Raw genomic sequence first — 25281 nt, forward strand, 5'->3', positions numbered from 1 at the left:
TATGCGGTTTCTCTGTTCACATCTTCACCAGCATTTGACACTTCTTATGGAGCAGTCTGCTGGTAATGAATTCCTTCAGCTATTATAAGTCTGAAAAAATCTTTATTTTTGCCTTCAATTTCACTAGATATAGATTTCTAGTAAATAGTTTTTTAATCCTATCAGTACTTTAAATATGCTCTTCCAACATCTTCTTATGTGCATACTTTCTGGTGAGAAAGTTGTCATATTTATCTTTGTTCTTTCTACATTACATAATCATGCTGTGTCTTGGTGTACTTCTCTTCATATTTCTTGTACTTGGTATGCATTGAGACTCTTGGATATGTGGATTTATGCTTTCATTTAATTTGGAAAATTTTCACCTACTATTTCTCAAAACAGTTTTCTGCCCTTTTCCCCTTTGCTGTACAGACAGTATTCATGTATATCAAGACACTTGAAGTTGTTCCATATCTCACTGATGCTCTGTTGATTATTATTTTTTACTTCTATTTTTCTCTTTGTGTTTCATGTTGAATTTTCTATATTGCTATGACCTCAGGTAGACAAACTTTTTTCTTCTGCAGTGTATAATTTGCCATTAATCCTATTCAGTGTATATTTTAATCTCAGTAATTGTAGTCTTTGTCTCTAGTAGTTCTACTTGTTTCATTTACATAAATATATCTTCTCAGTCTCAACTTAACTTTTAATATATGGAATATGGTTATAATAACTGTTCTAGCGACCTTGTCTATTAACTCCATCCTCTTTGTCATTTCTGGATAGATTTACACATATTTTTCTCTCTAATATGGGTCATAATTTTCTGTTTCTTTGCATGTCTAGTAATTTTTTGATTTAATACTGGACATTGTGATCTTGTTGAATGCTGCGTATTTTTTTAATCTTCTTTTTTTTTTTTTTTTTTTTTTTTTTTTTTGAGACAGGGTTTTGCTCTTGTTGCCCAGGCTGGGATGCAGTTGCGTGATCTCGGCTCACTTCAACCTCCGCCTCCCGGGTTCAAGTGATTCTCCTGCCTCAGCCTCCTGATTAGCTGGGATTACAGCCATGTGCCACCATGCCCTGCCAATTTTTGTATTTTTAGTAGAGGCAGGGTTTCACCCTTTTGGCCAGGCTGGTCTTGAACTCCTGACCTCAGGTGATCCATCTGCCTAGGCCTTCCAAAGTGCTGGGATTACAGGCATGAGCCACCACGCCCTGCCTGTGTTTTTTTTAATCTTAAAAATACTTTTAGCTTTGTTCTGAAACAGTTAAATTACTTGGAAACTGTTTGTTCCTTTCAGTTCTTGCTAGTAATATTTTTTTTAGCTAAGTCTGGAGCAATGCTCAGTCTAGGATCAACTTTTCCCCATTACTGGGGCAAGACCCTTCTGTGTACTTTTGTGTAACATTCCATGAATCCTGAATTTTGCTATTCTGGCTAATGGGAATACGTCTTATTGCTGAGCATGTGTGAATGTCAACCACTGTTACCTCTACTTCTTTCAGGTTGTTCTTTCTTTGGCCTCAGATAATTTCATTGTATGAGTGAGATGATCAGTAGTCTGATGAATACTCAAGGAGGACCCTCCCTCTGCAGATCTCTGGAGTTCTTTGTGTGTGTGTGTGTGTGTGTGTGTGTGTGAATCTCTCTCCTCTCTTATTCCTTATCCCATGAATTATAGCCACCTTCTTCTCCTTGGACCCTGAGCTCCATCTCTTCAATTTAGGAAGTCTACTTGGGTTCCCCCACTCTACCCCATGGCCTAAAATCGCTCTCAAATCAGTAAGCCCAGGCAATTGTAGGGTTCACCAAGTTTGTCATCTCTTAGGGATCCCTGTCTTTTATTGCCTGATTCAAGTGTCATTAAAACAAAAACAAAAACAAAAAAAACCCTTGTTTCATATTTTGGGTGTTTTGGGGATTTTTCAGGTGGGATGGTAAAACTGATCTATCTTGGCCAGAAGCTGAAGTGTTCCTAAAGTTTTTTAGTCCTCATTACTTCCAATGCCTTGGTGCCAGGGCAGGGTATATATTCACTACAACAACAGGTCAAAATTCTTCGAGAAGATTTTGTTTACTATGTGGCACATAGGCTTTCAGTGTAGGGTCATCTGTTGTGTCTCTTGCAATATGAATACTTGTATTAAGATGGCCTAATCTTTTGTCTCAGTTGTGTCTCAGTTTTCTCTCAACTGGAACTTCAGTTAACATGTGTTTTTATTTAATTCTAGCAGGATAGGGTTTTACTTTTCCTATCATAAGTGAGGAAAGTGGAAAATGGTTTTAAAGTCTTGGAATTCACAGAAAGAAGTCCTGTGAACACATGTGAAATTAAGCCATTTCTTGTTGAAGGTAGGGAGAATCATAACAGGGAGGGAGAGGAGACAATATTCCTTTTAAATCCTATATGGCAAACTTTCATTTTCCATGACTACTATGAGTCAGAAAACTGTAGTTTAAGAAGAAATCTTTCCATCCCATTCCCCTGCAAGCCCTTTTATTAGGACTTTAATAGCTAGGAAAGATGATTAAAATAACTTCTCCAAGGGAGAGAAGTAAATGAACAGAGACATAGTTGAAGACTAATAGGGATTGGTCTATACTATATCTAAGATTCCTTGCAATTCTAAACCCAATTCCAGAATATCCACTCTATACACAGTCAACTATCATTTTCTAAAGTGTTATGGAGTCAAACTAGACTGTTTCAAGACTAAATGTTGACCAAGTGTCATTGTCACACATCCACAAAAAGACATGGTAGTCTTTCAAAAAAGTTTTTTTCAAGTATCTATATCACACATGAGTTTTATCTACTGTAATTAAAGTAATATATTTAGCTATAATTCTAAGCACTAAGCACCACCACCAATATCTCCTGTGTTCCTGGAATGAGCATAACCTTAATATAAAGAGGGGGAAAACAGAATGAAAAACAAGGTTAGAAAGATAGTCCCTAGCTTCTTGTGAGAAAGTTAAAACAACTATAACAAAAGTCTGAGCATGGATATATTTTAAATGGCCTACATACTTTTAATTCCTTGAAAATAATGCAGAAAATCCAAAAATGTTGAAAACGTTCTTGGGGATTACAAGTATGGAAATACAGAATGAATTGCAAACTTCACATTTTTTTTTCTGTAGATATTTAAGAATCTGTTTTCCAATTCAATATTTCCTTGCTCCTTTTGTTATTGAAATGCTAATTCAGATTTTTGCCAGTGAAATAGAAGATCCTATAATGGATATTCTGAGATTGAAAAGTGAAGGAGGGTATTGCTTCTAGTTCAGTTCTATGGACCCAAATATTTAATATTAAGTAAAATCAATGGTCTCTTCCTAAATTCTCAGGACTTTATTCTAAATAAGCTTTCCCCATTTACATAGAATGGCACTGATGTTGCTGAGAAATTCCAATGTAGCATGCAACAGTGGTTCCTAATTGCTTTAGCATTTATCATGCACAAGAGACAGGAGGGAAGTTGTCTCATTTTGTATAGCTCAGTTGCATTTCTTATCTCTGAAGTACATTTAAGCAGCAAACTGGGACTTAAGGTAGCTGCCTGAAAACCAGCGTCCATTAACATGCATATCTTGCGGGGTTGGCGGGGGATGAATTGGGTTTTCTAAAGCAGAATACAGTTCCATCTCATTCTGTGCATTAATTTTACATAATTTCTCTTTTACACATTTTATAAATTAAGGACCATGATCTGACTTACCCATACAAATTCTCATGCTCACATTTTCCAGGTTGTGCCTCTTGTCTGCTTTGTTTTCAAAACATTTATTTTATTTTTCCTTTTCGTCCCACACTATGCTGATGTAAGTTTTCAAAACATTATGAAAAAGCATCTTGGTGCATTTCCAAGATGCTCTTTGGGCTCAATTAGTACCTGGTAATATTCTTCCAAGTAGTCATGGGAGGTGTTTAACTACTGTGCACTTACGCATCTTTTACCTGACAAGTCTTATGAACAGGTTTTATGTTATAAAGAAACAGTACTACTTCACATTCTACAGCAAACATTTGGTTAGCATGTATGAGTCTAGGAGAGTGGGGAAGCTGAAGTTCTGCTTATGCACTCTTGAATGTGATCCTTCCTGCCAGTGAGTTCTGATGATTTGTCTAAGCAGCAACAGACTATGGTTACTGTTTCAGGAATTCAAGTCCCATTAAGATGTAAACCCCCAAAGGGGTATACAAAATCAGATGGACTGAGAAGCACAGGTGTACCTATTTGTCTTTGAGGGGCTGTTTGGATGAATAAAGTATATTTGGACTATGCCCTGGCAAATATAGATTGCCCCCTTGAAGTGAGGATTAAAGTTTATGTATATATACATATGTATATATAGGTATGTAAATATATACTGATCCTAAAATGGTCTCTGCTGTAGACAGTTTCTAACAGTTTCTAATATAAAGGCAGTCTAATTACACCTTCCTATTGTGATGTAGATATTGTTTTACAAAATCCCCCCTAGGTGCATCAAGTGAAGTGAAGCTGTACAATCAACTTAATTGTCTGTATATAGACAATCCATGTACCTTGTAGATTTTTGCACACCATTCGTGACTTGCTTTCCTATCCTGTGGCCCATGTGATCCCACAGATGCCTTCTTTGGACAGGCACTGGTCTCTAAGTCTTACTCTTACCGCCCTTCTGCGTGGCAAGGGTGATTTGGTAAAGAAAGAATCAGGAGTAGGGGCCAATTATTTTTCTAGAGTTCTTTTAAACTTTTGGTTTCCAATAAGGCAGGCATTATAATTTGCTAACAAATTATTGATATTCAACCCATCTATCCTATATTCCATCAGTGCAAGCATACTTTCTTGTCTGTGATGAGTATATTTTCCATGTACTCACAGTTGCCTTCCTAGTGGTTAAAAATAAGAAAATGAAAAGGGAGTCATTTAGGCCGGGCACGGTGGCTCATGCCTGTAATCCCAGCACTTTGGGAGGCTGAGGCGGGTGGATCACCTGAGGTCAGGAGTTTGAGACCGGCCTGGCCAACATGGAGAAACCCCGTCTTTACTAAAAACACAAAATTAGCTGGACGTGGTGGCTCATGCCTGTAATCCCAGCTACTTGAGAGGCTGAGGCAGGAGAATCGCTTGAACCTGGGAGGCGGAGGTTGCGGTGAGCCGAGATCGCACCATTGCACTCCAGCCTAGGCAACAAGAGTGAAACTCCGTCTCAAAAAAAACAAAAAAAAAAAAAAAGAGTAATTTAAAGAGCAAGATTAAGTGTCAAGGGAAGGAGACAGAAAAAAAAAAAGTAAATGATCACCTCAACCTCCTTGAGTAGTTGCTTCAATATAGGATTCACTCATTATCCAAGGTCTGCATGAAATTTTAGGTAAGTCATTTTATAAATTGTTCTACACTAGTATCACCTCTACATTTGAAAAATCAAGAGTTGACTTTATTGACTCTATTGAAAAGCCTCATGTTTCTAGGCAAAGTACCTTTAGCCCAAACCCTAAAATACCCCATTTGTTTCATTCTGAAAAATGCAGTCAATCCTACTACAAAGCAGGAAAATATATTTATAATAAAGTAGAGACAATAGTATTAAAAAATGAATCTCTACAGGAATAATTTACATGAACACATTTATTGTGAGTAGCTGTATGGAAAGGCAAGTCAGATATATATAGATATACATATATATATAAACACTATACAGAGTTGCAAAGTCGTCTCCCAAAACTGCAAACGAGATGTTTACAAGGAAAAGAAAGTACAAGAGTATTTACAAAGGAAGACAAAGCCAAAGCAACTCAAAGCATATCTGTGAAGCAGAAATAGCAGATGTAATTAGCTGGTGGAACTGTAAAGTTTCAGTTTTTAACGACCAAGTGACTATGCCTGATATCAAATTAAATGTAGAGGTCACACACACAAAAATATTCCATCATTGTTTTTTCTTAGCAGCATGAACTGATAGCTGGAAGGTAAGTGATAAGTTGGTAAACATATTCCACAAAGATTCTTCCAGCACAATACTGAATAAATTAATTGTCTGTAAACTAATAAATAATGAGAACAAGATTGCATTTGTTATGCAGTACCTGTGACTATGTGTACCTGTTACTATTTGTATAATACGTACTACTGTGTATGAGGTTTCTCATTCATTTATTCAGCAACTGTTACATCTGTGCTGTACCCTCTGTACCCTGTCTGCTGGCAGCTTCTGAACCTAATATGCAAATAAAGTGATACAGTATTTTCCCCCAAGTAATCTTTTTTCCCACAATTCTGAACAATTATTACTTAACTTACTTGAAAAAATAAAATGGTGACAGAAGGCTTGAAAAAAAGTTGCCTAAAGAGCGCGTTGTTATAATGAACAAAAGCCACACTGCGTTATTTGATTAGGTTGGAAAAAGAGAAGAGTCTGAAGGAACTGATAAAGTTGATGCCCTAGCAGTGACCAGTAACTGGAACAATGACTGATCTCATAGCCACGTCCTCTCCTCAGCACAATTTACAAGAGGGAAAAAAGAGCCCACCATCCCTTTGGTTGGTAGGCAAGGAAAAATAGAAGTCAACTCGGTTCTTTGGAAAAGTTAGTTTAGCAACACGTACTATAAGCTTGCTTGAAGATAGAAGTACACGTTCAAAGACATTAAAACCAAGTAGTGAAAACCTTTAGATAAATATTACACTACTTCAAAGTTGCACATTAAATGCGAAGCAAATTTCATTTTAACAGAGTTTACACACAACAGGTACATCTACAATCACATGTACACAGGTACACAAAGTGTGCATACACACGAATATGTACACACACACACTAGTGCTCACACACATACAAACACACCCAACTGTGATATGATGAGGTTTGCCAATGATGGTACAGCAAGCCAAGATTTGTGTGCCACCACGGAACAAAGCTCTAAGCAAGCTTCAAGACCTTTGTACCTATTCTCTGTGGTCACCACCTTGCTAGTGTCACGTTCTCAAAGGTCCAGGTACCTAAAATCTTAATTCAGTTTACATCAGAGGCAAGCAAAAATAGAACGGGGGGGAGCTTGCTCTGATTTTTTTTTTTAATTTGGTACATCTTATATTGGCTCAATATCCAGAAGGAAACAAGGCCTTATAAGAGGTTCTTTTTGGCTTAAGTTTTTGTCAGAATATTGATTGATAAGTAAACACTAATTTCTTGAATATGGGAAATTGATCTCTTTATAGTAGCCATGGGCATAAGAGGAAGAGTGTGCATTGGGGAAAATGGAGAAAGAATAAGAAAAAGTAGAATAGAGGTTGAAAGTGGGGAGAGGCCCAGAGAAGCAGGGAGGGGCCTTGGGAAGAGACTTTTGAAGAGCTTTGTTTCTTTTAGGAGGTAAATGTAGGTTTCACAATAAATGAAAAATAATAGGTTTGGAAATACTCAATCGATTTTCAGGCAGAACATCACAGTGTTGTATGTGAACAAATAGCTGTTTCTCAGTTCTGCCTTTAAAATGTTGGAAATGCTCAATCAAGATATTAGTTTCATTGACATATAACATGAGCAGAATGTTGCAGTTTTGCTAATGAGCAAAACTTGAAATAATCTGCCCTTTAGTCCTGCCTTTAAAATACTGGTAATGCCCCATCAAGATATCAGTTCAGTTGACATTTAATTCATTGATCAAGAAATGTTTTGTGTGTGTAATACTCGGAAAAAAGATTCCAGATCATACCTTCCTTCCAATTATGACAGCTGTTTTTTCTTTATGTGCCCTGGTTTAAAGTTTTTCAACTTCAAAATTGAATCTAAATATTTTACATTATTAAAATTGGCATTGACCAAATTTATATGTATTCTAAGTTACTTTTTTTTAAAGAGGGAAAGAGTTATGAGATGCTCACTTGTATAGTATCTGTTTCCTTTCAAAGGGACAGACTGGGGAGGAAAACCAGAAAACAAAAAACAAAGCACAGTGTAAATATTGTTAATTAGAAATCACTGGATCCATAAGCAGCAGTATGAATGATCTGCATGAATAGGATCATTCAATTGCCAGAGTCCACTTGTAGGCTTGTAGAAATTTGGGTTGCTTTCTACTCAGAAGCCTCTGAGTTTTCTTTCCTTTAGGCAGATCTGGAGTAGACGAAGATAAAATTCCATAAGCATCACTTTTCTTCTAAAATGTGTTTTTGTGGCAATATAATCACTCTAGGAAAAAGATAATAAAACAAAAGTTACTTGCAGAATTAATGTGGAGAGCTGTCACCCCCACCCTGTTTTAAAACAAAACAACACAAAACAAAACAAAATCTAACTAGAAGTTTTTGAGAGATATACAGAGGAGACTGCCTGGGCATGGACATGGTTAATCAACTCTGCTGGCTGCCTGTGAGGAATATCAGCTGGGCAAAGACACAAGGGCAGTTATTCTTCTTGCCCCCAGGCTGTCACTGACATTTCTGGTGGACAGCATCTTTGCACGTGCGTGCACTGTTCTACTTTCTTCCAGTGGAGCCCAAGAGTGAGCCAGGCATTGTGCAGAGAAACAGATTTTTTTCTTCTTCTTCTACATGTTTGACTCTGCCTTCACCAGGTTATGTGGCACAAGTCATAGGATTTAAGTACAGCATTGGTGATGGTCTCTAGACTCAATCATTGAATTTCTTCTAATAGAACAAAGTCATACCTGCAAAGGAGACTTGAAATTCCCATCTGTTTAATAAAAGAAAAAAGTTCCAGCATTATTCTCTTGGCTTTCTGCTTTTGAGTGGGTGCATAATGGGGAGTGTGGCAGGGGGTGATCAGATACATAGAAGAAGGTGCTGGACCAGAGAAGGGATAGGAATAAATGATCAGCAAATTGATTATGGGATGCCAGTGTTACCTTAAGATCAGGTCACCACAAAGTACCAAGTATTCTATTTTATTTGAGACATCTTAAAAGAATCCATGGAAAACATCCCCCAGAGTGGGCTTCAAGTACAAGATTGTCTATTAAACTGGAAATATACATTTTAAGTATTCATTTTCTCATCAAAGGTTTTACAATTTTTTTAAAGAGATGAGGTCTCACTATGCTGCCCAGGGTGAAGAGCAGTGGCATCATTATGGCTCACTGCAGCCCCACCCAGACTCCTGGGCTCAAGGATTTTTAAAATGTAACAAATTTGCAGCTGGATGAAGCACTGAGTGGGAACAGTACATTTCCCTCTTACTAGTTGTGTCTCTTCATTAAGATTCAATGTATAGGTTTGTTCTTGTAGATTAGAAGTTTAAAAAAATGCTAGCCATGGTGGCTCATGCCTATAATCCCAGCACTTTGGGAGGCCAAGGCAGGTGGATCCCTTGAGGCCAGGATTTCAAGAACAGCCTGGGCAACATGGTGAAACCCTGTCGCGCAACTACACTCTAGCCTGGGTGACAGAGTGAGACCCTGTCTCAAAAAAATGCCATAGATTAGTAAAGGTATTAAGCTTTCCTGTCAGCAGTGGGTTTAGGAAATTTTACATTTTATGTATCTAGTTCTACACAGGAAGAAAGGAGTCTGTGATAACCACAGTTAACTGTGAGACTGCATATTAGTAACTGTTAATTCGCTGCAAAATTAGGCTAGACCAGTACCAGTATTACAGTGTTATCAGATATCAGCTACATTTTAAAATAGATATTTAAGGTTAGGAAGGTATTTCACCTAGTTTAGTTTACTATTTTGTTTTAATACCAAAAATATTTTCATATGTCCATATATAGCACATTGCATGTGCTTTAAAAGGGACTTCTTGCTGTCTTATATGATACACTGGATTTCATATATATTTTCCCAGAAACCTGCAAATTAAGCTCCATATAACTACCCTATTGGCATTATACTAAGATTAGGAACATTTGCTTTTATTGGAGTTGTTTTTCTTTCTCTTTCCTTTTTTTAAATGACAGAGCCTCTACTAAAATTTGATTCATATTGCCATTGCTTTCCTATAACACCTACACCAGCATTAAGTGAATGTTTGGTAACTTAATAAAAAGTGACAAATAATTGTGTAATTTCATGTTTACTTCACAAAATACATTTGTCAATTCTTGATTAACTATGCTAGTAGAAAGGAATAATGTTATCCCAAACAGGATAATCCCAAAATAATTTAACTTGCTTTTGAAATGCATTATGGGAACTTGAGCCACAGATTTGCCTTTATAATCCTATTTTACTTAGGCCAATATTAAAATGAGTTTACATTCCCGGGGCACATTCCAAAGAACAGCGTAAGGAAGCAACTCAGAAGCTTGCTGGGTGGCAAAGGAAAGCAATTCGAGATTAAAACTTGGTTGTGAACAGTCTGCAAAATGAATATTAAAGGGCTAAAAGTCATACCTTAGATTTGTCTCCCGTTCATTTTTATGTGATTTCACCATCAGCAAGGTAAATGGTGATGCTTGTAATAATGTGGTCTGTTTTGGATGTATTATTCCCATTTGATACTGACAGGTTATAAATACTTACCTTATTGTATATTCTTATTTTCCCAATTAATCAAAGGTCTTTTAAACAACAAGTTAATTTCACCCTTTTTAATGGGTGGTATACTCTTCAGGTAATTTTTCTCTGTAATATAGAAAACCTCAGTGGACTCTGATGAGTCAAAATATTTCCCTACTCCTCCTACCAAAATCTGGCAGGGAACTTTTTTTTCTCAAAAACAAATGAAGTAAACTTTTCTGTTTCGAGTTATATAATGATATAAACCTGAACATTAATCTTTAATACGCTAATAATGCACAGATGACTTCAATATCCCTGGAAATTTGTAGGGTGAGCCAAGTAGGCAGTTCCTCCAGGGTATTTCAGACCTCTTTATATGAATCATAAATATGCCTCTATTACATTTTGAAGTCCGAAACAGCAGTATTTCCTCTGCTCAGAGAAAGGTGAACCTATAACAATATATTGTTATTCTCTCATTCTCTTTTCCCTTTCTGCAAACTTATTGTCTTAGTTATCTTTTCAGCTCCAATTTTCCTGGAGCTCAAAAATGTTTTTCAAGGGTTTTTGCAAATTCCTCACTCTGTTCATTTGACAACATGCTATCCCTGCACCCCTGTGATCAACTGGAGCTCACATAAGCAGGGGCAACCAAGTAAAGCACCAAAAAAAAAAAAAAAAAGGGAAGCAAAGAAAGATATGTTGAAGCATACATGCCAAAGATGAATGTATAATAATGCAATTATATTAGTTAGCTTAGCATTGTCTCTGGAGTATATGTAGGTTTTTTTGTTTTTTCTCAATAAGAAAGGATCATCATACTTTTCTGTGCCCTGTGATTGTAGAGGAGGATGACTCTCTAGGACTTGATAAAATTAAGTGCTATTGCTCAAGGCTAAAAACTAGTAATAATCGCTGCTAGTCTTTACAACACCAATTATACCAGACTATTATCTCCTTCATAGATCGGATGATAAAATACCTTTGTTCCCACAATGGCAATAGTTTTGGGACAGAATGCTCAAAAGAATCTGTAAGGGAAATGTATGACACTTGTAAACCCCCATCTCCTCAAAGGTCAGCTCAATCGTTTTACACCTGCCCTTTGTTAGCAGGCCCTGGGCCACTTATGCATGTGCATTCCAGTCTTGAGTATCTGGATACAAACTCTATGGAGATCAGCTACAGGATTTTCATGGTAGGTCAGCTTCTCCACTACTTCCCAACACACACATGGGCCACTTCACTCTGCTGCCTAGTTACTGCCAACTTAAAGAATGCAAGTTACTAGAATTCTAATATAGGCAGTTTCAAATTTACAAAACAGACATATTCCAAGGTCATTGTTTAGTTGAAACTCAGAATAAATTATCTTGTAGAAACAATGTCATAAATTAATGGTGGATAGGTTTATAGCTTTGTCTAGATATGCCTATATTTAACCTATGCAACTCCTGAACTAACAGAGAACTATTTTGACTATACCCAGTCATCATTTCTGAGGGAAGATGTATGTGAAGTTTCAGTTTGAGACTCCAGGAATATATGTCTTCCAGCCATGGCAATAGGAATTGTGTCCCCCATACTCAACCAGTTGGAAGAGTCGGAGGCAGGGTGACAGCCGAAGGGAAACTATGGTAAAAGCTGCAGCAACAATAAGGACTTCATCATGGAGGTGGGTGGGGGCACAGGACTCTGAGTGCGAGGACAAGGTTGGTAAGCTTTCAAGACTGGAGGCATAAAACTTTAAAAAGCAAGAGTAAAAAATCACATTTGCTGGTCAGACTTTCAAGGGCCCCATGGATACACATGTGAGCAATTTTCAAGATTAATTGTGAGATGGAAACTTCACTGTTATTCTAAGTTTCAAGTCTATAAGTAGGAAATTATTAATCATAGGAGAAAAATTATATAAATTGTCAAAACTAGCTAAAGTGACTACAATATATAGGGAATTAGATATTCGGTAAATCCAGAAGGTGTGGCTGGCATCAAACATATTGTGATCAATCCAACCATGAAAATAGCTTTAAACACCGGCCCAGCTGCTTCTGTGCCAAGTGACAGTAGGGCAGGCAGCACAGCCTTGGATCTGTACAACAAGGATCCCTACAAGGAAGGTTGCCTCTGCAAGCTAAGTGCAAGAAGGCTGTGTACTGGGAGTGATCAACATCTGGCGAAGCCCTCTATGGGCCCTGCAGGACTCCCACAGTGGCCCTCACCTTTTCAGCCAGAGAGAGACCAGGAAAGGGCATGTTTGCCTGAATTCAAGGGCACAAGTTTGGCAAAGGGCACATGAGGGTAAGACTCACAGAACACAACCAATGCAACCCTAACCAATAAGAAAGAGGTATCAGGAAGCTAAGAGAAAATAGCAGTAACTTTCTCATTTCACTTAATAAGTATTTAAGTACATGTTTTCCATTCTAAAAGAAATTAATTATTCAGCCAGAAGTTGAAAGGTACCCTCTAAAAATGCATATCTAAAACAGTATATAATTTACACTAGAAACATCTTTAAACATTCCTATTTCTCAAGTGTTGAGTCTATTTTTCCAAAATAAGGTGGAAATGTGAGACCTGTAGCTACATTACCAATAATCAATGCAGAATTGCTGGAGAATATATTTTAAGTTCATATGGCAAGCACATTTTTCTTGGCAATTTTATCAATAGCTTTAAAATCAGCAATCCAATGATTGTGGCAAAAACTCAGTGCTTTGTGATGTATTTATTTCATTATTATAAAAAGCAGTGTCTTAAATTTCTCATTTCTCATTCAAGACCAAGCAACGTTTTCTAGTAAATGATCCTCACTATCTAAGAGTCTGGCAGCACCTCTTAGAGAAAATATACTGAAAGTTTTAATTAAGCATTTTACAAAAGCTATTTTCCAATACTGCCAATAAAACGTCTGGGCTATTTTTATATACTCTTAAAGCCTTAAAAAAGGTGCTAAATCAAAATGAACTTAATTGTAAACAGGGATTTCTATGTCCCAAGGAGAGAGTTTGATTTTCAAGGCTTCTAAAATCTACTTGCCTGACTGCCAAAAGCAAGTTCACTTTTTAAACAAATGAAGAACGTCTATTGCTACACTGCTTATTCTTCCACCTGTCTTACTTTATCCTGTTTTGCCTACTGTGCTGATTTAGATCAGAATACCAAATTTTATAATGAAGGAAGAAATTAAATGAAAAGACTTTTTGCTATAACTCCCAAATGTCAATGAATTATTAGGAAAATCAAAGAAATCTAACTTCAGTTAAAGAAATGACCATTAATGGAAATTTACTGAATGCACCCTCAATTCACTTTCTTTCCTTTCAATGTTTCTGTGGGATCTAAATAGATACATACACTATTTGTGTTTGGGCAGTGAAGATTAACCAACTCCTCCCTATATCAGATTTAAAACATTCAATTCCAGCACAAGTCAAATTCTTTTATTCTAAGAGCCAGGGCAAACAGTTCAATGTAATAAAATTACCCAGGTCCTGGAAGATAGTCCACAGTTATAATGCTCTGAATGAATTACTTACAACAAAATTTGCTACTATCAAGTGAAAGCAAACTTGTAATTTTTTCCTAATCATTAACCATGTAATAATCTGTCACCAGTGGGAAAATAACAGACTAAACACCTGATTAAAGGGAGGTGTCATGTGTTGGGTGGAGTGCTGGACTTGAAATCAGATGTATGAGTTAGATTTTCAGCTCTGCCACTTACCTTTTTGATCTTGGGAAAATTCTCAACATGGGCTTCATTTCCAGTACTTACCATCCATCAGTAAAATAATGAATGTGAATGTGCTTTGCAAACTATAAGGCAATCTGCAACTGGAAAGCATTTCCTCAATCAACAATTTGACAATTTAACAATAGACCCTTTTAAATCACATAAACTATTCCTTAGTTCTCCCTACACTCGTCAGCCACATCTATTCCCACAGGAATTATTTTTTTGTCACTCTGAGAAGCCTAAGTTTGTTCCCAAAACAGGGGATTAGGGAGAGAAAAAGAAAGTAAGAGATCTCGTTCGAATTTTTATACATGTGTGACATTCTGGTGTGCTTAATTAAAGTTCTGGTCCTTGTTTAAGGTAAGTATTTTGCTAGTAGTTGAAATTTTTACCCTGAAAACATCACTCTTAAAATAGAATGAATGCAAATGAATAATGATTGTGAACAACTTTAGTTAACTTTAATTAAGTGAAGTCCTCTTTAATTGTTAGAGGACAAATACCTCATTAGTCCAAACACTGTCCAATTTTGAGGTGTTGAATATTACCTAAAATAAATGATCCGTCAATGGTAGCTGGGAAATTTCTGCTATATGGAAATTTTTATAATAATTAACTTCAATGGAATAAAAACAATGTGCTCTTAGTGCCTATAACTGATAGCAACAAGTTTGGCAGTAGTACACTCAAAAGAAGCATGATTCCTTCATGGTGATAACAGTGTCTAACACTGAAAAATTAATTACTAAAGTTTTTTTTTTTTGCTTTTTAATACCAAGTGCCATCATAACATTACTAATTTGGCTGACCGATTCTCTCACCCCTCCTAGAGCTGCCCTTTTATATCCTCCCATCTCTTGAATAAAAAAACCAGGAAAATGTTCACCTCAAGTCATTTTGAACTATGAATTGTACATCAGGTAAGGTAGAAAAAGAAGCAAATAGTCATACATAGGTTAACAGTCAAACTAAACTGCATAAGAAACAACATTCTTCTCCTAAATGCTAATGCCTATAACCTATGTGTTTAAAATGTGAAGACTTCATCTTTAATAAATGATTAAAAATTATTTCATTTATTAATACAGTCATGTCTAAGGTTATACTTCTGGGTGTTTCTTTCTAATCGACTTGAGTAAATTCCTTTACTGTACTTACTTATACGCAATGTGACTGTAGGTAAATGGAATTACATATTAATTTTGTGTTACATGAGAACAGCTGTCTCACAGATTTATAATCTCACTTCACTTAAATGGTAATCTATAAACATGCCAACTGAACAATAATGTAAAGTATTTTAAATGCAAGTAAAGACTAACTGAAAAGTGAGATTTTCAGATGGAGAATCTTAATTTAGGTTTGTTTTTCTAAATGTAATAATAACAGTAGCAACAATAACAATGGCAATAACTGTAAAATAATTCATGTATAGTACTTACTATATGCCAGGCACTGTTCTAAGCACCTGCCATCAATTAAAATGACTTTTTGAAATACATAACTTCTAATAAAGATGGTATTTGTTCCTCTGTCAAAGCATTATGTTTTTGTTTCCTAACGTGATTGTTTTTGTTTTAATGTTAGATAGGAAAATAGAGATCAGAAATGAGTGAAAATTATTCTACAGCTTTACAATAAAAAAGGATCAGAATCATTCAGCTTGTTCTTAACACTTCACAGACAACATTCTACCATACAATTTACATTAAAATGCTAACCAAAGTCATTTCCTACAATGGGTTGTTTCACCACCATCAACACCACCACCACCACCACCACCACCCCCACCCCCGCACCCCCCCGCCGGCAATCCCCACCATTCCTTTCATGTATTTCAGCAAATTATGTGCAGGAATCACCCTCAAGATCAATTATTTTGCAAGAAACTGAATCAGTTTAAACTGCCGAAATTTCACTTCAGTATTAATCCAATGACACTAAAAATATCTTACATTTGTAAAGTGCTTTAACATTCCAAAGTGCTTCCACGTTGATTCTCTTATTTCAACCTAAGCGCCTGCCTCCCTGTGAGATAGAGCTTCCTTGCTAAAGTCACTCAATAAAGCTAGGAATTTCCTCAATAAACAATGCATTTACAGAATGTTAAATCTCCAAAATAGCTACAAAGTCATAAATCAGGAATTTATGCTAAAATAATGATCATTGTGTCTAGGTATTCCTTGGGAAGTCAGAATTTATTCAAGGAACAGTAAGATTTCACTATTTAAATCTTAAACTTCTTAAAATAAACCTCTATGAAAACTGGTCCTTTTGAAAGTACTACAGGGACACAGGCAACTGTGTATCATCTACATCAAAATTATAAATGGTGTCTTCAATAGTTAGACTCAAACAATAGATTGAGATCAATTTTCAGGTATATTCTACAGAATAAAGTAGATCTACTCTTGAAAATCTTATTATGGATTAAAGACTTGGAAATGAAATTATATATTTTAAACGTATGATTATGGTAGCAGTGGTGATCATGTGTGTTTGTGTGTGTGTGTATGTGTGTGTGTTGGGGAGGGAACTCACAGTTTAAAAGAGGTCTGAATTGAATCCTTTGGCAAGCCAAAGCATCCTTTTGTTGTTTTAATGATCACTCTTTAATGTGTCCACGCTGCAAATGTGAGTTTGTGTATGGCAAGTTTTCTATAGCAGGGAGAAAAAGGGGATGTGGGGGGGCTACACCTGCATTAAATAGGGAGCTTGTTAGGTGACTGTTGTGATCAGTGCCCGACTTGTTCTGCCTGATCAAGCACAGTGGGCAGAGATCCAATCACAAAAGCATTCCACAAAGCAAGCAAAGCAAAAATCTTCACTAAACTGACTACTGGAATGAAAACTGCTGGGGTCCATCCCTTCCCTTCACTGGGAAAGAAGCATATTCTACTTAAGAGGCAAGGTAGTTGAGACTATGGAGACATCATCCTCTGCAATCATCTCTTGAAAATGTTTCAAGACACACTGATGACAACATTCCACAATGTTGTACACAGTAGAATTACTCTAAGTCTTGTTTCCAAGTCTGACAGCTCCTACTCTTCCTTACTTCTTCCTTTGGAAAAGTAGCCCTTTAAAAACTTCCACCATTCCAGGGTAAGCTGCCCCTGGAGTCAGGTCTTCCTCCAGCCTTATCTTGCTTTCCTTGATTTCCCATAAGATATATGAATTAAATGTTTTAACTGCTTTTTAAACCTTTGAAATAATATTCATATCCATTCTCAAGTTGTCACCACACCCTCTTTTAGAAGGGTGGGGGGTTAAAAGAAGAAAATGAGGCACAGCAAATGTGACTTGCCTGTCATTACTAGTGACAGAGAAAAGGAACACTCAAGGTTTCTGGAATTTATCCTGTGTAAAAACAAAAAGAAAATCAACACACAAACACATTCCAGAGCCAAATACTGTCTTCTTTTAATCACCTCCTGTTTTGGATTATTTATGTTTTGTTCCCCCCAGACATTCACGTTAACAATTGAGATTTAACTTTCTTGGTAAATCACAGCAAACTAGCACAACAACGACTGCTCTTTAAAAAGTAACTTTCAGAGGAGAAAATTATCCTCCCTAAACATAAATAGTTGATTATTACTGCTTAATAGTCTGTGCTCTTATTAAATTCCTACACTTAAATATGGGCATTTGCAGAAAAGCAGCTTTTAATTGTTGATTTGAAAATTAGTTGGTGGAACCCAATTTACGATATCCTGCTTTACATTATCATTAAATGATGGGGAAGGATGTTTAAAAGTATCCTTATGCTTTTTATGTCTGCGTTTTAACTACTCCTAAAAAAGTAGAACCAGTGTTTAAATGATAATCAGTTCTGTCCAGATAAAGAAATTGATTAGATAAAAACAAATTTTTGCAAAGATCAAAAAGGCATTTGTGAATAATTAAAACTGAATTCTATACTCCATGTCGAATAGCACCAGTTAATGAAATAGTATCCCTAACACTGTAGACTGTAGCGCATCGAATCATTAGACAATGACCATTCACTTTAGGGAAATTAATTCTAAAATTACCGACCTCTTTTGGGAGAGTCGAACTGATTATCACGTCTGGCAAAATCCATTCTCACGTGAGTGTCGTCGTCGTTGTCAGAATCTTCTCTCTCCGGGGGTCTTGGCACCCGGCGACTGCGAGGTGGTGGTTCCGGAGCGGCAGCTGCAGCGGCAGCCCCGCCAGCCTGGTTATCACCTCTGGCAAGGTTTGCAGATGGGTTGTGGGCTCCAGGGTTCGAGCCACCGGCAACGTCTTGGGCTCCCCTTACTGCTTCGGCATCAGCAGCATTAGCAACAGGTTGAAACCAGCGGGCAGAGGCGGAGTCAAATCCAGCAGCTGCGGCTGCTGCGCCGATGCCCGGGGCTGCGGCGAGCGCGGAGGCCGCAGCTACAACTTGGCTGAGGGCTAAAGTCGGCTCTGCAGCCGAAGCGACAGCCGGGGCTGAGGATGGGGAAAGGTCTCTCTCGAGGCTGTCTGTTGGAAAAGCAGAGACAGCGGCTCTGGCTGCTGCAAAGAAACTTTGAGAACGGCTTTGTGGGCGTCTTCTCTCCTGCTCTTCTTCCTGCAGCAGCCTAGCTACAGGTGGTGGTTCAGAACATCGGCTGGGGGAGAGAGAAATATCCATACAGCACTCAGAAAATGGGTCGACCACATAGATTCGACCTGTTTCAGCATCATAGCGAATGGCACTGTCAGCAAGAGCCATGGCTGGTGTCATTGCTGAGTTGAAAATTACTTCAATGTAGTCACCCTCTTCCTCAATAGCATTGCTACCTGTAGCACTGAGGGGAAGGGGAGGAAGTGGCCACCTAGCACTGTCCAGAGATAAGGGGTTGGCACGTGGTATAGCTCTTAAAAGATCTGAGAGGTCGTTTGCTGGATTTGGAAATGGCACTCCAAACTCAACATTCACATAATTAGAAAAGGCTGACTGTCTGGGTTCAGCAATTATGCCCCACGAATCTGGTAGTCCTTGAGTAGAGGGAGCTGGTGTATTGCTCTCTCTTTTAGTGAAGTCCATGTTGACGTAGTCACTAGAGCTGTCAGCTTCTCTCTGCTCATGTGTGGGCTTTTGTGGTTTTGGCTTGATTTTATATCCTTTTGTAATAAAAGAAAGTCGGTTAGGTCTCTTAGCTTTATTCTTTGGGGGCTCATGATCTGAAGGCTTTGAAGGTGATCCCCCATCTCCAGGCTTTGAGAATGATCCCTCACCTGAAGGCTTTGAAGCTGCATCTTTGGGGTCCCAGTTATAGGAGACTTCTTTGTCTAGGCCCCTCCCCAGGAACTTTCCAGGTAACATTGGCACATACTCACTGTTGTCATTCTGTCCCAAAGGTGAGCTCCGAAAAGGGTTTGGTAGAGAGAAGTAGGAGCTCCAACTTTTGGAGGAAGAGCCACCCTGAGGATTTCTGGGGTTTTTTGGAATTGCACCGGCTCCAGGAGCCATAAACATGTAGTCACTCTCACTGTCATTGTCCTTTGAGTCATCCTCTTTATTAGTATCAGGTGCTTTTGGAGGACTCGGAGCAGGTGGTGGGCTCACTCTGGGAAACATCATCATGTACCCTCTTGAATCTTCAAAAGGGGATCGAGAGTGGCGCTTTTTTGAAGCAGAGACATTTTGAGGAGCCATTGGCATATAATCACTGGAGCTTACAAGAGGGGTGGCCACCCCTGGCCTCATTGGCACGTATGGGTCATCCTCATCTTCATCAAAAGCTCTGGCTCTGTGGGGACCTCGAGCTGCACCTTCTGGGATCTCTGCATCTTTCACTTCTTTGGCTTCTTTGCATTCTTTCGTGGCTCCTCTGTCAACACAAAAATAAAGTCTGAATCTTCCCCCAGACTTCCCTTTTCCACCAGTTCCTCCAGCTGGTGGGGGTGGAGGAGGAGGTGGTGGAGGTGGTGGCATTTGCTGTTGCTTGCTTTGAGTTAATTTGCCAAAATAGGATCTTTTCTTCAGAGATTTTCCACGTTCACCATCACCATCGGATCCTTTCCCACTTCCTGAGCCTTTGCCCCCCCCAGAGTTCTTGCCACCACCTGAGCCATGGCCATCTCCAGGTCCCTGGCCACCACCTGAGCCATGCCCACCTCCAGGTCTCTGGCCACCACCTGAACCGTGCCCACCTGCGGTGCCCTGGCCATCTCTAGAGCACTGGTTTCCTCCTGAGCCCTGGCCATTTGAGCCCTGACCACCTCGGGATCCCTGTCCCTCGCCTGAACACTGGTTTCCTCCCGAGCTATGGCTACTGGAGCCTTGGCCATTTGAGCCCTGGCCACCTCCTGAGCCCCGGCCATTTCCTGAGCCCCAATTGTTCATAGGCATGTAGTCACCTCCGCTTCCTTCCTGATCTTCTTTGCCCTGGGGATTGCCTTCCTCCCCAAAGTTGCCAGAGCCAGAACCAGACACTTCAGAAGACAGGCGAGCTCCATTGTTCGGGGCTTCTGCAGGGTGCCGGGGACGTGCTGGGCTGGGTGCTAAGCGGCGAAAAAAGCTGGCCGGCACTGAAACCGCTCTCCTTGACCTGCGCCCTCTGGGCAGGTGCAGTCTTCCTCGCCTGGAGTGGGCCACAGGCTCGCTGGGTGTTACGAAGCGCCTGGTGAAAAGCATCTCGTCTTCCCCGTCGCCGATGGCCCTGAGGTGGCAAAACTGCTCAAAGCGGGACCTTCTGAGCCAGCCTCCCGGCTCGAGCGGCACCAAGCCCAGGTGCCTCCTAGCGGACAGCAGGGTTAACAGGTGGGCGCCGATGCTGATGCTGTAGCTGCGGCAGCGGGCTCTGTATTCGTCTGCACACAAGGCTCTCATCTTCTCCAAAAACAGCTCATGCATGTTTTGGGCAACCACACAGTCATCGACCTGCATCCAGAGCTCTCCCGGACCGATGACAGTGGACCTGCCTACTTCCAAGAAGAAATACTGCTCCGAGTGTCCACAGCGACGGATGCTCAGGAGCTGGACGACCACGCTGGCCACTTCGGTGTTCAGCCTCACAAACACGACCTCCTCGTCGGTTAGACACAGCCGGAACACGCCGCTCAGCTCTTTTCTGTGCCCCAGCCCCCTGGGTTTGACTATTACCTGCCACACATCTTTATAGAAGGGTGGCTCCGCCGCCGCTGCCGCCGCCAGCGCGGCCGGCTCTCCGTCCGGCTGCGCGCCGAGCGTGCCGCAGCGGCGGCGCTTGCTCTCGAGGATGAGGCGGCTGAGCAGCAAGTACCAGCTTTCCTGCTCCGACTCGTTCTCGGCCACCATCGCGAAGTATTCGTCTTGGGTGAAAAGAGCAATGAGGTGTCGGTACCTTGCATCTGCTCGCTGGCTCACGGAAAAGCACTGGTATAGGGTGATCACGCGCCGCGGTGGAATGAGCGGGGGGATCGCGGCGCCAGAGGCGGCCGCCGCTGCTGCAGCCGCCGCGGCGCGGACACTGTGCCGGAACTTCCTGGCATTTTCGTAGTATTCCAGCCGAGCTGGGGCGTCAGCAGTCTCGAGTTTGAGCACGAAGTAGCGCCTGTGCCCATGCTTCTGTTTCCGCAGGTAGCCGCGTTTGCAGACTTCCTCCCCGACGGGCAGGTCCTCCTCTTCGGACTCGGAGTCTGACCGGGAGCCAGTGGCCGTGGAGAGCCACATGGCTCCCGGACAAGACGACCCGGTCCCAATGAGTGCGGTCGGGGTTCCCGAGGAAAGAAGCGGGGTGGTCACCACTGCTGCTAGAGCTGCCGCTGCCGCCGCTGCTGCACCTCTTAGTCTTCTTGTCGCTTGGTCGCGAGTGAAGGAGCAACTCGCCATGGTGATGCACGATGGTTTTAAGGTGAGCGAGGAGGAGGGGGAATTCAGGAAAGGGAGGGTTGGGGGAAGAGGCTGTCTACCCTCGTCTGCCCGCCCCAGCCCCCTCCTGCCTTGGCCCGCGCCCCCGCCCACTCCACTCTGAGCGCACGACAGCGGGCAAAACAACACGTGACCACAGCCTCACGCGGCGGCCGCTGCGGATCCTGCTACCGGCGCAATGGAGGGGCGCGAGCGGCCACCAGTAGAGGTGAGCAAGGGAGGAGACGGCGGGCTCGGGAGGCGGAGCCACCTCCGGCTGTGCCAAATCCTCCCGGTCAATCTCCAGGCCTGTGGGCCAAGGGAGGACCGAGAGGAGGAGGCGGGCTCTCTGGCCAAGCTGATTCTAACAGGGAGTCCAGGAAGGCATGAGGGGGCGGGAGAAGGCCTGGAGGGGCGGAGGAGAAAGCGGCCGGCTATCAGGGTCGGGAGAGGGCGCCACAGTCGGGGCCCCATTGGTGGGAGGTGGTGGGAGGGGGCGTAGCGCAAGCAGTGCCTGCCTGCGGCGCCAGGGTGCAGAGCGGGCACAGTCGCGGGACAGTTTGTTTGTTTATTTGGGAAGCGGGAGCCAGGTGAAACTGTTGCAAGGCTCTGATTGGTTGGGATAGGAGCCAATGGGAGGGTCCGGCAAGAAGGCAGCCCCGAAATCATTAGTTTGGCGGGAGGGAGGGGTGAGAGGGGAGAGGGGAGAGGGGGCGTGGCTGGGGTCCCAAAGTGGCTTCGCTGTCGGCTTGTGGCGCTCTCAGGCGGTAAACAACCTTACGCAAATAGCTGTTAATGGTGGTGGTAAACTCGTGCAAATCCCAGAGCCGTGGTGACCCGGGATGGAGTCGGGTGCCCTGGTACTCCCTGTCAATCACATAAATTCTCTGTTCCTGTCACAGTCTGGTTCATTCTTTCCAGCCGCACAAGGCGGCGGATCGAGCTTCTTGGGAGAAAGTGTCGGCACCCCCTGAAAACGGGTTGACGACCAGGGCGCTCAGAACTGCTTCCCACCGCTCTGCAGGCACTCCCGAGCCCGCTGCACCCCTGACAGAAGCCCGCGACTCTGAGGCACACGAATAACAGCGATGCATTCAAAATGAACATGATCTTTATTAATCAGAATGCACTTCTAGCCCACGAAACACAGGTTCCCTAAATACAGTGTTTCTGCCTATTTGATTAACGATGACTATGAAAGCACAAATTTGGGGGCCTGCAATGTATACAGCCATATTGGAAAAAATTGGACTCGATTCTTACTGAAATAACCAGTGTTGGGCTGTGAAGGTATTTTTCTGTGGGAAATGCTTTGGAAGGTGCCTTTAAAAGAATCTCAAAATATTGCTTTCCTTTCCTTGAGCGAGACCGAAAAACTTTAGAAAAAGAAAAGCTCATACCTAGAACAAAGGACCACGCTGAATGCATATTCTAGAGCACATTTCACATCCCTCGCGTCAACAAGAAGAAGAAGAGGAGCTTTGATGCATTTCAGTCTACAAGTTGACATCACAAAAGTAAGAACTACTGCCTCCCTCATTTCTGGAAAAACTGCCGGAGTGTAAGTGCAACCTCCTCAAGTCTCTCTCTCTCTCTCCCTCTCCTTCTCCCTTTCCCTCTCCCTCTCCCTCTCTCCCCCACCACCCCAGTTATTACTTGACTAGGATTTTAGACTCTTAATGGTGGAGATGGGTCGTGAATTATCAAAGGAGTGACCAGGTTTGCAAAGAGGAATGGAGGGAGAGGAGGAGAGAAATACAGCATTTCTCTCTGAAAGAATGGAATGTCAGTTCACCCTTGCTCTAGGGTTGATATGGCAAAGGGTACTATTTATAAAATCCAACAGTAAACTAGGCAATATGTATATCATAAAAATAAACCATATTTCTGCCCTCTTAAGAATTTGCTCTGTTAGAAACAGAACACACGTATTTGAATAAATGGCTCCTTTTTGATGCTATAATTTAAGAGAAAAAGAAATTGGTTTGGGTTGTCCCCCAGATATTACAAATATTCAATAACATTCCCTCTGCTGCCAATGGTTTATAAGTGCAATATATTCACAGGTGCTGGAAGCAGCCGTGGTTTCGGAAGGGAGCTAGAGGCAGAACGAGTGTGGATGCTGAGAGATCCCTGACTGTGACTGCTACATATTTCAGCTGCGTAGTCACATATATACAAGATTCCCTGCACTTACAACCAAAATGATAACAAATGCTCTCATTTGGGATTTTGTTTGATAGTCATTAGGATATTTTATAAGTCTTTCCAAGCACAAGGTTTTTTTCTTTTTTTTTTTAAAGAGAAATGTGACAAATAAGGCAACATATTTGAAAGTGCTTTGAGTAATAACATGACATTGAAAATATCAAAATGAATATTAAATGAAATGGGAAAATACTGGAGATTTTTAAATCCTCATGTCCTTTTTCCTGTACATATAGTTTTTACATAGAGCAGTAGGCTTACAATTTATATAATTTTGCATCCTGTTCTTTTCACTGAACATTATACAATATTTCCCCATATTATTATGCATCAGCATAAATATCATTTAAAATACAACATATTATCCAACACAATCGATGAATATTAATGTAATTAATCATCTGCTTTGGGGCATTTAGGTTGTTTTCATTTTTTTCAGTATTATAAATAACATGTCAATGAATATCTTCTACCTACAGCCTTTTAAAATTCCCATTGGGTAAAAACTGAGCACTGGAATTAGTAGGCTAAAAGATATGAATATTTAATACATTATTTTTCAAAAATATTATATTAGTTTACCCTGTCACCAGACTGATTGTCAGCATTGGACATTCTTATTTTTAAAAAATTAGAGATAAGATGGGTGAAACGGTATTCCACTATTCTTTTTTTTTTTTTTTTTGAGATGGAGTCTCATCCTGTCACCGAGGCTGGAGTGCAGTGACGTGATCTCAGCTCCCTGCAACCTCGGTCTCCCGGGTTCAAGCAATTCTCCTGCCTCAGCCTCCCAAGTAGCTGGGATTACAAGTGCCCGCCACCATGCCCAGCTATTTTTTGTATTTTTAGTAGAGAAGGGTTTTCACCATGTTGGCCAGGCTAGTCTCGAACTCCTGACCTTGTGATCCACCTGCCTCAGCCTCCCAAAGTGCTGGGATTACAGGCCTGAGCTACTGCACCTGGCCTCCACTATTCTTTCAATGTGCTTTTTTTTTTTAACTAGTGAGATTAAACATTTATATATATTCACTGACATTATATTATTTCCTATGTCCTTTGTGTTG

The 25281-nt window shown here is 40.7% G+C and overlaps 1 protein-coding gene and 1 long non-coding RNA gene across 5 annotated transcripts; one reads left to right on the forward strand and one right to left on the reverse strand.

Moving 5' to 3' along the window:
• On the reverse strand, nt 5593–22210 carry IRS4 (insulin receptor substrate 4). Of its 4 annotated transcripts, NM_001440817.1 has the most exons (3): nt 18226–22210; nt 8649–8674; nt 5593–8170 (listed from the first exon to the last, which is right to left on the reverse strand). In NM_001440817.1, the coding sequence occupies exons 1-3, from the start codon at nt 21989–21991 to the stop codon at nt 8060–8062; spliced, it is 3903 nt and encodes a 1300-aa protein (NP_001427746.1). In that variant the 5' UTR covers nt 21992–22210; the 3' UTR covers nt 5593–8059. The 4 variants fall into 4 exon arrangements, with proteins under 4 accessions (NP_001427746.1, NP_001366079.1, XP_006724776.1 ...); NM_001379150.1 differs by lacking the exon at nt 8649–8674; XM_006724713.4 differs by having other exon boundaries at nt 5593–17544.
• Nucleotides 22187–24550, forward strand: IRS4-AS1 (IRS4 antisense RNA 1). The gene is made up of 3 exons (NR_110652.1): nt 22187–22238; nt 22912–23526; nt 24076–24550. It is a non-coding gene; the product is annotated as an IRS4 antisense RNA 1 (long non-coding RNA).

The sequence above is a fragment of the Homo sapiens genome, chromosome X (assembly GCF_000001405.40).
Source record: "Homo sapiens chromosome X, GRCh38.p14 Primary Assembly".
NCBI classification, from domain to species: Eukaryota; Metazoa; Chordata; class Mammalia; order Primates; family Hominidae; genus Homo; species Homo sapiens.